This window comes from Homo sapiens, chromosome 20 (assembly GCF_000001405.40).
Source record: "Homo sapiens chromosome 20, GRCh38.p14 Primary Assembly".
NCBI lineage: Eukaryota > Metazoa > Chordata > Mammalia > Primates > Hominidae > Homo > Homo sapiens.
Window position 1 is genome coordinate 25,821,569 of NC_000020.11, and position 13,306 is coordinate 25,834,874.

Here is a 13,306-nt window from a genome sequence, read left to right on the forward strand (position 1 = left end):
TTTACTTTAGGCATATAAAAAATGCATAATAAGGCCAGGCACTGAGGTCAGGAGTTCTAAACCAGCCTGACAAACATGCAAAACCCCATCTCTACTACAAACACAAAAATTATCCAGGCATGGTGGCACATGGGCCATGCCTGTAATCCCAGCTACTTGGAAGGTTGAGACATGAGAATCACTTGAATCTGGGAGGCAGAGGTTGCCGTGAGCCAAGATCATGCCACTATACTCCAGCCTGGGTGACAGAGCGAGGCTCTGTCTCCAAAAAAAAAAAAAAATGATATAAAATACATAATAAAATTATAAAGAGAACCAAGGAGAGGATGGCAGATATCCACAGGTAATGTGGATATCTCTTATATCTGTTACTAATAAGGGGAAGGAAGACTTTAGGATCAGTTAGGTGCATACAGAGGACTTCTCGGTGGTGATAGTCCTCTATTTCTTCACCTGGATAGGTATCACACAGATGTTTATTTAATAACTGATGTATCCATATCTTTGTTTGTATATTTTAAAATAAGAATGAAATAGAGGAAAGGAAGGTGAATGGAAAGAGATTTCTCCATTCATCAAAATTTTAAAGTCATGTTTTTCCTCAGGTTCTTCTCCAAGCTCAGTTTGAAATAATGAAAGGAGCTAAGCATGGTGGCTCACGCCTGTAATCTCAGGATTTTGAGAGGTTGAGGTGGACGGATCACCTGCGGTCAGGAGCTAAGACCAGCCTGGCCAACATGGTAAAGCCCCGTCTCTACTAAAAATACAAAAATTAGCTGGGTGTGGTGGTGGGCACCTATAATTCCAGCTACTCAGGAGGCTACAGTGAGCTGAGATCACATCACTTGACTCAAAAGAGTGAAACTTGTCTCAAAACAAAACAACAGCAATGAAAAAGGAAACAGGAAAACATCCTCAATAATAGAGGACGTACTAAACAAGGATGCAGCCACTCATATCATGTCTTGATTTGTAGATTAAGAAAATGATGACCCTTCCTAGGTACTGATTTAGAGTGACATTTCTGTGAAAGTAGAGAAATACTTATATATCCATAGAACACATATATGTATTTAAAATTGTATATGAGCATGACATATACATACATATTTGTGTGTATGGCATCTGCATCCTTGTATGTTTAAATACAATCTGGCAATTGCATTCTTTGGTATTTGAAAACTTATATCCACTCAAATCCTGCACATGAATGTTTACAGCAGCTTATACACAACTGACAAAGATTGGAAGTAACCAAGATATCCTACAATAGAGAAATGGATAAACTAATTCTGAAACATTCATACAAAGGAATATTCTTCAGGAATAAAAAGAAATGAACTACCAAAGCATGAAAAGACATGGAGGAATCTTAAACATGTATTTCTAAGTGAAAGAAGCCAATACAAAAAGGCCACATAGTATAGATTTCCAACTATATGGAATACTAGAAAAGGCAAAACTAGGCAGATGGTATTATAAAAAGTTCAGTGGTTGCCAGAGGCTTGAGCAGAGGGAAAGATAAATAGGTGGAGCACAGAAGATTTTTAGGGCAGTGAAACTTTTCTGTGTGACCCTATAATGGTGGATATATGTCCTTATGCATTTGTCGAAGCCCATAAATGGTAGAACACAGAGAGTGAATCTTAATATTAGCCATGAACTTAATAATATCAATATTGGCTCATCAAGCATAACAAATTACCACACTAACAAGATGATAATAGAGGAAGCGTGTGTACTATGGTGTGAGGTGAATATTAGAGCTCAATATGCCTTCTGCTCTATTTTTCTGTACACCTACAACTGTTCTAAAAATTGTCAGTTATTTATTTATTTATTTATTTATTTATTTTTATTTATTGAGATGGAGTCTCACTCTGTCACCCAGGCTGGAGTGCAATGGCCCAATCTCGGCTCATGGCAACCTCCACCTCCCGGGTTCAAGTGATTCTCCTGCTTCAGCCTCCTGAGTAGTTGGGATTACAGGCACCAGCCACCATGCCTGGCTAATTTTTTGTATTTTTAGTTGAGATGGGGTTTCACTGTGTCAGCCAGGATGGTCTTGATCTGCTGACCTCGTGATCCACCCGCCTTGGCCTTCCAAGGTGCTTGGATTACAGACATGAGCCACTGCGCCTGGCCTTATTTATCTTTTTGAGACAGGTTTTAGCTCTGTCACTCAGGCTGGAGTGCAGTGGTGCAATCATGGCTCAATGCAGCCCCAAACTCCAGGTCTCAAGTAACCCTCCCGCCTCAGCCTCCTGAGTAGCCGGGACCACAGGCATGTGCCACCATGCCCAGCACATTTCATAGACCTCTGAAAAGATGCTCAACACCATATGTCACTAGGGTGAAACAACGATGTGATACCATTACACATCTCTTAGACTGCCTTGAATGCAAACACCAACACCAAATGCTGGTGAAGATATGGAGCGACAGGAACTCATCTCTATTTCTGCTGAGAATGCAAAGTGGGACAGCCACTGTGGAAGGCAGTTTTGCAAGTTCCTGCCAGACTAAACATACGCTTACCATACAATCCAGTGAAAAATGAAATTTTAAAAATATGTTTTATATACTTGAACCATATACATTTAAATACATATATATTTTATATATATTTTAAAAGTATATATATTGTTATTTTTTGTAGAGACAGTCTCTACAGACCATAGCCTGCAGAATCTATTAATTTTAAAAGCGTTTTAAACTCTTGAACAAGAAATTATTTGAAGAGTGAAAAATAAAATGATAGAGTATTGATTGGTAAATTCCAAATGTTGTATATTACATAATTTGGATTAATTTTAAATTCCAAATAGTGAAACTTTAAAAAATATTTTAAAAATTTCCTAATCCGAGATCAATCCTAGTTCAACACATTCAAGAGCTGATTTCAGAGGAGAGATAATTGGTCAACAAGTTCTTTGGTTTTGACCTTGTTTTCCGACTATTTGTGTTTGTGAATGGTGAATTTTTAGATTTTGTTCCTTTCTTCTTAGGGTATTGACTAATATTTTATTAAGCCAGAGAGACAGTAAATTAGAATTATCTTGTTATAAATATTTCCTCCAAATTCACTTATCTAAAGTTTTTGGTTTCTTTAGTCGGGTGCAGTGGCTCACGCCTGTAATCTCAGCACTTTTGGAGGCTGAGGTGGGGGTCACTTGAGGTCAGGAGTTCAAGATCAGCCTGGCCAACATGTCAAAACCCCGTGCTTACTACCATACAAAAATTAGTAGAGTGGCTGGGTGTTTTGGCTCACTCCTATAATCCTTGCACTTTGGGAAGCCAAGGTGGGCAGATCACCTGAGGTCGGGAGTAAAGAAACAGAGAGTAAAGAATTTCTGAAACCAAAAAGTCTGAGAAAAGCTGCTCAATATATTCATTCAACAAATATTTGTCTCCTTACTGTGTACATGGTACAGTTCTAAGCTCTAGGGATAAATAGCATTGAACAAAATTCACAATATCTCCTGCTCTCATCAAGTTTACATTCTAGTGGACATAATATAAGAACAGAGATGATTTGTCAAAAGGCAGTCCGGGCACAGTGGCTCATGCCTGTAATCCCAACACTTTGGGAGGCCAAGGCAGGGAGATCACTTGAGGTCAGGGGTTCGAGATCAGCCTAGCCAATATGGTGAAACCCTGTCTCCACTAAAAATACAAAAATTAGCCAGGGCTGGGTGTGGTGGCTCACCCCTGTAATCCCAACACTTTGGGAGTCCGAGGTGGTTTGGATCACCTGAGGTAAGGAGTTCAAGAACAGCCTGGCCAACATGGTGAAACCCCGTCTCTACTAAAATACAAAAAAAAAAAAAAAATGTTAGCCAGGCGTGGTGGCAGATGACTGTAATCCCAGCTACTTGGGAGGCTAAGGCAGGAGAATCACTTGAACCTTTGGGGCGGAGGTTGCAGTGAGCCGAGATCACACCGATGCACTCCAGCCTGGGTGACAGAGCGAGACTCCATCTCAAAAAAAAAAAAAGTTTTAAGTGCCATGGAAAAAATAGGGAAGTGGTAAATAGTTTCAATTTCAGATAGGATGATCTCTGACAAGGCAAGAATCATGTTAAGACATGAAGAAAATTAAGACAATGATCCTTACAGGTATATGGAGGGAGAGCTTCTTTTTTTTCCTTTTCTGTTTTATTTATTTATTTATTTATTTATTTATTTATTTATTTGACAGAGTTTCACTCCTGTTGCCCAGGCTGCAATGCAATGGCACCATCTCAACTCATTGCAACCTCCACCTCCTGGGTTCAAGTGATTCTCCTGCCTCAGCTACTCTCCCAAGTGAAAGGTGACCAAGAGAGCCATTGAAAATAGTGAGAGTGGCCGAGTGCGGTCCCAGCACTTTGAGAGGCTGAGATGGGTGGATCATGAGGTCAGGCATTGAAGACCAACCTGGCTGAGAGGGTGAAACCCCGTCTCTACTAAAAATACAAAAATTAGCGAGGTGTGGTGGCATGTCCCTGTAATCCCAGCTACTCCAGAGGCTGAGGCAGAAGAATCACTTGAATCTGGGAGGTGGAGGTTGCAGTGAGCCCAGATCATGCCACTGCACTCTAGCCTGGGTGACAGAGCAATATTCTGCCTCAAAAAAAAAAAAAAGAAAAGAAAAGAAAAATAAAATGGTGAGAGCACCATGTTTGAAAAGTGGTCCAGGCACTGGAGTAAAGGGCCAGTGTCAGCCAAGTCATCAGCTATCAGAACAGGAAGCCATCAGGTAATATATCAAGTTGATATATTGAGAAGAAGCAGGATCTACCTATTATATAATATAGAGACAAGCACTCAGATATGTAGATTAGAAATAGTTTAGAAAATTTAAACATTTGATTATTCAGGAAGTAGACCTGGGAGCATTGGAGAAACAGGTTGGGGGAGTAGACTGCATGGAAAGCTCTTTCTTAGTTTGTAATTTTTCAATTATGCACATAGGTTTCTTACATAACATGGAAAATTCAATTAAAGAAGAAACAACATTGTGTTCTGAGGTCCCAAAGGTTTAGTGATTAATTAGAAAGACTCACAAAACCGAGTGAAGCTGTTATACTCATAGTTTATTACAACAAAAAGATACAGATGAAAATCAGCAGCAGAAAAAGGTGCATAGGGCAGAGTCCAGGAGAGACAAAGCACAAGCTTCCAGTTTTCCTCTCCCAGTGACATCGTGTGGACGGTGCTTAATTCACCCAGCGATATGTGGCAAAAAGTATAGAATATACTCCCCAACAAGAAGCTTACCTGAGCCTTGGGGTTGAGGGTTTTACTGGAGGTTGGTCACATGGACAAGAGCACCCATTTGGATGGCCTTAGTTTCTCTGTCTCCACCCTTCCCAAGGTCAAGCTGACACTGCATGGTCCAAGTTCCCCATAATAAATCACGTTGTTAACTCCCAGATAGGCAGGAGATTCCAAGGACTTAGAGGTTATTTCCTGGGAGCTAGGATAGAGTCAAACCTTTCTTTGGAGTATGCCAGGTTTGGGCAATTCAGGCCTACTAAGTTTCCTCGACTGCATACAAGTGATAGTATGTAGGAAATGAGTAGTCACATATATTGCTGGTGAAAGTAGAGTGTTATATAACCCTTTGGAAAGAAATCAAGTGTGTAGCACATACACATTATATTTGGTTTGTTTTTGTTTTTGTCTGAGACAGGGTCTCACTCTGTCACCCACACTCAGATGCAGTGGCATGATCACAGCTCACTGCAGCCTCGACTACCCAGGTTCCAGCTATCCTCCCACTCAGTCTCCTGAGTACCTGGGACCACAGGCACCTGCAAGTACACCCAGCTAATTTTTGCGTTTTTTGTGCAGATAGTGTTTCACCATGTTGCCCAGGCTGATTTCAAACTCCTGGGTTCAAACAATCCCCTACCTCAGCTCCCCATTGTGCTAGGATTACAGGAGTGAGCCACTGCACCCAACCTATATTTGTATATACATTAAATTGTATATGTTAGGCTGGGCACGGAGGCTCACGCCTGTAATTCCAGCATTTTGGGAGGCCAAGGTGGGCGGATCACTTGAGGTCAGGAGTTTGAGAGCAGCCTGGCCAACATGGTGAAAACCCATCTCCACTAAAAAAGCAAAGTTAGCTGGACATGGTGGCAGATGCCTGTATTCCCAGCTACTCAGGAGGCTGAGGCAGGAGAATTACTTGAACCAAGCAGCGGAAGTTGCAGTCAGCCGAGATCATGCCACCGCACTCCAGCCTGGATGAGAGAGCAAAACTCCATCTCAAAAAACAAAACAAAAAAGTTGTATATGTTATTGTATGTTGTGTATATATTAAGTTGCATATACACATATTAAATATATACACATATATTACACTTTATACACATACACTTGTTTCCTCATGCAATTTGTTTCAGCAGAAGTAAAAATAAAGATATAAGTAAAAGAATATTTATAGAAGCACTATTTTTGGTGGCAAGAGTACTTTAATATCTTAAATGCTCATATAATGAAAGATACTTTAACTCTTACAAAGAACGAGTTAGCTTTTTATCTACTATAAAGATATCCTAATATCTTTATATCTAAAGTGACATATGTGGCCAATTGTTATATTAAAAAAGGAGAATGCTTTATAATTAAAGAAAAAAGAAAGAAACGTTACATAGTAGCCCTCCCTTATCTGCAGGAGATGTGTTCTAAGACCCTCAGTGGATGCCTGAAACTTGGGTAGCATTGACCCAATTGCTGTCAATCAGAACACATTTCTGTTTATGATTTCCACGCACAAATTTAATGCCTTTTTCATCTTAACTAAGCACTTATCACACACTTGGCTGTACTTTTTAGAGCTTGCAGTGCAATAAACAAGACTAACAGAAATTTCTTTTTCCTTCTTACATTTTCACCGCTAGAGGATTTGTTCTTACTATCGATGTTAGCAAACTGAGCACATTACTTCTCTCTTTTTCTTTCTTTCTTCCTTTCTTTCTCTTTCTTTCTCTTTCTTTCTTTCTCTTTCTTTCTTTCTTCTTTCTTTCTTTCTTTTTCTTTCTTTCATCTTTCTTTTTTTCTCTTTATTTTATGTATTTACTTATTTATTGAGATGGAATCTCAGTCTATCATCCAGGTTGGGGTGCATTAATGCAATATTGGCTCACTGCAAACGTCTCCTCCCAGGTTCAAGAGATTCTCATGCCTCCGCCTCCCAAGTAGCTGGGATTAAGGCGCTCGCCACCGTGCCCAAATAATTTTTGTATTTTTTGTAGCGATGGGGTTTCACCATGTTGGCCAGGTTAGTCTCGAACTCCTAACCTCAAAAGATCCACCTGCTTCAGTCTCCCAAAGTGCTGGGATTACAGGCATGAGCCACCAAGACTGGCCTGTATATTCTGTTGTTTGCTGGCCAATACTTATATGAATCTTGGAGAACATCGTGGAAAGATGCTCATCATCTTGTTAACTGGTTATTTCAATAGTGGAACTGGAGGGGGAATACTGCCTTTCCTTGTATTTATTTGTAATGTTTCATTTTCATTATGAACATGTATTATTCTAATATGTTTAAATATTAATAAAGACAGGTAAATATATGTAATTTTAATTCAAGCTGAAATCCTCAAGGCAATCACATATAATTAAATAGATGGAGGAAAGAAAACATTTAAAATCCCTGAAGGAAAAGGAGGGAAGTCCAGGCAAGGAGTCTCATGCTTATGTCAGCACTTGGGGAGGCCAAGGCAGGAGGATCACTTGGGGTCAGAAGTTCGAGACCAGTTTAGCCAATATGGTGAAACCCTGTCCCTACTGAAAATACAAAAATTAGCCAGGCATGATGGCATGCACCTGTAATCCCAGCTACTTGGAAGGTTGAGGTGGGAGAATCGCTTGAACCCGGGAAGCAGAGGTTTCAATGAACCGAGATTGTGCCACTGCAGTTCAGTCTGGGTGAAACAGTGAGACTCTGTGTCAATCAATCAATAAAAGGAGGGGGGAAAACACAACTAAAAAAATAAGTGATTCAAAAGTAGCAATGTACCATAATGCCTAAATTTGTGGGATTGGCGGGGTGTGATGGCTCCCGCCTGTAATCCCAGCACTTTGAGAGGCCAAGGTGGGTCGATCACCTGGTCAGGAGTTCGACACCAGCCTGATCAACATTGTGAAACCCTGCCTCTACTAAAAATAAAAAATTTAGCAAGGTGTGGTGGCGGACACCTGTAGTCCCAGCTACTAGGGAGGCTGAAACAGGAGAATCACTTGAACCTGGGAATCAGAGGTTGCAGTGAGCTGAGATTGTCCCACTGCACTCCAGCCTGGGTGACAGAGGGAGACTCCCTCCAAATAAATAAATAAATAAATAAATAAATAAATAAATAAATAACACTTTGTGGGACCAATTCCAATCGAGTCCAGGGGAGCACACACTGGCGACCAACATCCCCCCTCAGGTCCCTTCAGGGTCGAGAGAGTGCATCTGGAACAGACTGGGAAACTCCAGCAGGCAAAGTAAGGTTCCAGGAATAGACACACCTGACACATTCTCCATGTGCCCTCCACCCAACCCTCTCCCCATCAGGCTTCCATCGGGCTCCAATTCTGCACTCTCCCCAAGAACCTCAGATTGAAACATTGCAAGGAAGACACCGATACTCAAAGTCACAGGCTTAGGAATCTGAGCTACAAAGAAAAATGAGCCCCTGCTCCCCCAACTGCCTGGTACTCCCCTCAGCACTGCTGCCCTTCACCTGCCCCCTCCTCCATAATTTGAACTGTCCTCACAGAAGCTGGAGAGACGGCTCGCCTGTCAGGAAAGAGAGGACCAGCATGTGGCAAATGCCTGGAGTATGTAGGAGCAGATGGAGAGATTAGCACAGGGATGTAAGAAACAAGTGGCTCTCAGACCAAAGAAGACTCTGCGGGAGACGGCACATTAAGCCTTCATAGGGGCGTGTGCTGGACAGCAGCTCCCCAGTTACCGAAACAATTATCTGAGAAAGGCTCTGAGCTGACCCGAAACACCCTTGGATCCCATGGCAACGCCTCAGCGTCTGGCAGTAATAGGTTTCTGTGCCCATAATCTCTAGGTCTGGAGGTCCCAACTCCACCAGCCTCTCACAGCCCAGAGGTACATCCCATTGGCGCCTGATGGGTTAGGGAGGCTGTTCTTCCAGCTGTGACAGATCCAGCCTAGGAGCGCTCCTGGGTCTTCTTAGTTGTTTCTTCCCGCACACCTGCCACTCAAAGCCACAACCCACTTGCACACCACCTTGAGGACACCTTAAAACGACTGCCTAGATGTGAACCGCGCTGAGGGAATGGTCAGCTTTACTCCCATTAGATGGCTTGGCCCAAAGGACCTAGCGACCACTCAGACAAAAATTTCTTCCTAAAAGCTGGATGTGTCTGTGATCTCTAAGAGGCAAAACTAAACCCTAAAGAAAAAGCCAACCCACCCCCACCTCCACAAAACAAAAACAAAAACAAAACCCACCGCCAACCCACCTTTCATGTGAGGAGTCCTTGAGAAGGGCCTCTCCAGCCAGGACCAGGCAAGGGAATCTATGCACTTGGCCAGACCCAGAACACACAGTGTCAGGGACCTCACAGTCACACTCTGACCTCATAGAATTTCCACCACTGACACACAGATCAGGATGTGTCAGCCTGAGAGATGACACCACAAATCTGGCTTTCACAGATTGATTCCACACACATCCCATCACTGACACCAGATTCCCTCATCACTGACCCTACATACCCACAAGAATTGATTCCATGGATCTCATCACTATCCCAAAGACTACCCATCATAATCTACAGATTGTCATCTCTCACCCCAGGGACCCCACAGATTCCCCATCCCTGATTCCAGGATCTACAGAACCTCATCTCTTACCCCCACAGACCTATTAATAAAAGGATACATTCATAGGAGACTGTGTTGACCATTTTACACACCCATTGCCTGTGTGTGTGTGTGTGTGTGTGTGTGTGTGTGTGTGCTGATTAATGGACTTAGGTAAACTTTAGCATTTTGGTAGGCAATGCAATTTTTCAATGCCTTTTCTTTCTTTTTCTTGTACATCTTTAAAGGCCTTACTCCAGTAAGTATGCATTGCAGTTTATTAATGCCTATCCCTTACTGAGTCCTTGTCATGCGTATTTGTTATTAATCATAATTCACAATTCTTATAATTCAGAGACACCAGAGATTCACATAAGAAGAATGGCTTTGGGTTTTTATTTATTTATTTGTTTTGGTTTCTGTAAGTTATCAAATTCATTCATTTGTATCAAGTCACTAAGTGTATACTTTGTTTTCTAAAAAAAATTCCAATCAATTTTTTTTTTAAGACAGGTTATCGCTCTGTCCCCCAGGCTGGAGTGCAGTGGTATAATCATGGCCACTGTAGCCTCAACCTCCTGGGCTCAAGTGATCCTCCCTCCTCAGCCTATGTAGTAAGCTGAGACCACAGGCATGCACCAATATGCCCACCTAATTAAAATTTTTTTGTAGATATGTGTGTCTCACTATATTGCAGAGACTGGTCTTGAACTCCTGGGCTCAACTGATCCTCCCACCTTGGCCTCCCAAAGTACTGAGATTACAGGTGTGAGCCACTGTACTCAGCTGATAAAATCTTAAAAAGAGGAAAATACTTTGGGGCCTAATGTAAAATTTCCACCGAGATGATGCGTCAGAAATTAAGGTAGAATAAGATGTCCCTAGGGCATCAAAACAACAAAACTTAATCTTGGGCTGGGTGCGGTGGCTCATGCCTGTAATCACAGCAATTTTGGAAACCAAGGTGGGGGACTCACTTGAGGTCAGAAGTGTGAGACCAGTGTAGCCACCATGGTGAAACGCTGTCTCTACTAAAAATACAAAAATTAGCCTGGAGGTTGCACTGAGCCAAGATTGTGCCAATACCCTCCAGTCTGGGCAACAGAGGGAGATTCTGTCTCAAAAAAAAAAGAAGAGGAAGAAGAAAGAAAATCTTAATTTCTTCGTCAAATGTAAAAACTATGGACTGGACTCTGGAGGAATAATACACAAAAAGACAGATAGGCACTATTTTTTTGAAGTTTTATTGAGAAATATTGATAACATACCACAGAAGCCACTGATTTAAAGTGTAAAATTCAGTGGTTTTCAGTATATTTGCACTGTTATGCAAACATCACCACAATAAATTTTAGATCATTTTCATTACCCTGAAGTAAACACCATATCCCTCCATTTCCCCCCAACTCCCCTAATCCTGGGCCACCACAAATCTACTTTCTGTTTCTATGTGTTGGTCTATTTTGGACATTTTATTTAAATGGAATTACATACCATGTGGTCCTTTGTGACCGGCTTCTTTCACTTAGCATAATATTTTCAAGGTTTATTCAATCTTGCATGTGCAAAGGGGGCACTTTACATAAGGATAAACCTGGAGTGGGGGGTACTTACTGATTGATTTGGAAACTTCCCTCCGAAATTGTAAAGGCTTTCAAATAGAGGAACAACCTATTCAGGCTAAAATCCTGTTTTCAGCAGTTTGTAATGTGGGGTTTTATTGCAAAGAATGGCAAGATTTTTGGGCTTATTTTCTGCAAATTCTCCCTGTGTTTGGGGAACAGTCACAGAATGTGGAGGAATGAGCTTCTAGGCTCTGTGGCTGCAGATTCATGTCCAGGAGAACTCAGGTCCCAGGATAGGCAGAGAAAAACAGTGTAAGAAGGCCAACAGAATGCTTTGAAATGGAAAATTTAAAATGTTCCCTCCAAAAGGAGTCCCAGATAACCACATAGAAGAGGACTTTGCTGGGCAGCTCCATCGCAATTGTTCAATACTAAGATACAGACAGACTGGGAAAGAAGGAAGTTTATTTCTGCAGCCACTTACAGGGAGAAGCGCCAGGTAAATCACCAGATCAACTCAAAGTTACAAGTTTTTTTTTCTAGTGCTTATATATATCTTAAGCTCCATGTGGGATTGCACCTACAAGCAGGAGTGTTTCATTCAATCAACATCTAATCTTTAACTCGGGTCTAGCGTCTGGAAAGATTTCCCTAGAGTCTTGGAAAGTTTTTGAATCTTAAGACAGGCCGAGGTGAATGTGTACGAACGCTATCATTATTCGATCAGATTTTAGGGTCTGAGAAAACCCAGACGGGGTCTCAGTGGGTTTGTTTTCACATTCCATCCGTGATACTCAGGCACCAGTTTCTCCATTTCTTTAACGTTAACTTATGCATTCATCAAAATTATAGTAAAGGGTTAGTAGAAACTGTTCTGGTTGCTATTGCAAACCTGGCCTGCCACAGGCACTGAAGCCCACTATAGAACATTGAAAATGCCTGCAAACACTGACTTTACTGACCAGTCAATTAAATTGCAGAAAAGCAAGCTCACGCTGCCTCCCTGATCTGTCCTCCAGAATTGCTAGTTAGAAACGTTCACATTGTCCTAGGTTCAGTTTTGCAAAGATGGAGCCTGGCAGTGAAAGCATTTGTTTGAGTTCATGCATTAAGATTTGCTTTGTCTATTTCTTTTATATTTATTTATTTATTTATTTATTTATTTATTTATTTATTTTTGTGATGGAGTTTCAATCCTCTTGCCCAAGCTGGAGTGCAATGTGGCGGTCTCGGCTCACTGCAACTTCCGCCTCCTGGGTTGAAACTGTTCTCCTGCCTCAGCCTCCAAAGTAGCTAGGATTACAGGCATGCGCCACCATGCCCGGCTAATTTTTGCATTTTTAGTAGAGATGGGGTTTCACCATGTAGGCCAGGATGGTCTTGAACTCCTGAGCTCAGGCAATCCACCCGCCTCAGCCTCCAAAATGCTGTGATTACAGGCATGAGCACCCTCGGCCGGCCTATTTTATTTTAAGATGGAGTCTTGCTCTGTCGCCCAGGCTGGAGCGCAGTGGCACGAGCTCGGCTCACTGCAACCTCTGTCTCCGGGATTCAAGCGATTCTTGTGTCTCCGCCTCACAAATAGCTGGGATTACAGGCTCCCGCCACCATGCCTGGCTAATTGTTTATTTTTAGTAGAGAAGGGGTTTCACCATGTTGGCCAGACTGGTCTCGAACTTCTGACCTCAAGTGATCTGCCCGCCTCGGCCACCAAAAGTGCTGGAATTACAGGCGTGAGCCACCATGCCCGGCCCTATTTCCTTTATTTTATTTATTATTTCGAGAAGGAGTTTCGCTCTTGCCATCCACGCTGGAGCGCAGTGGCGCGATCTCGCCTCACTGCAACCTTCACCTCCTGGGTTCAAGCGATTCTCCTGCATCAGCCTCCGGAGTAGCTGGGATTACAGGCGCA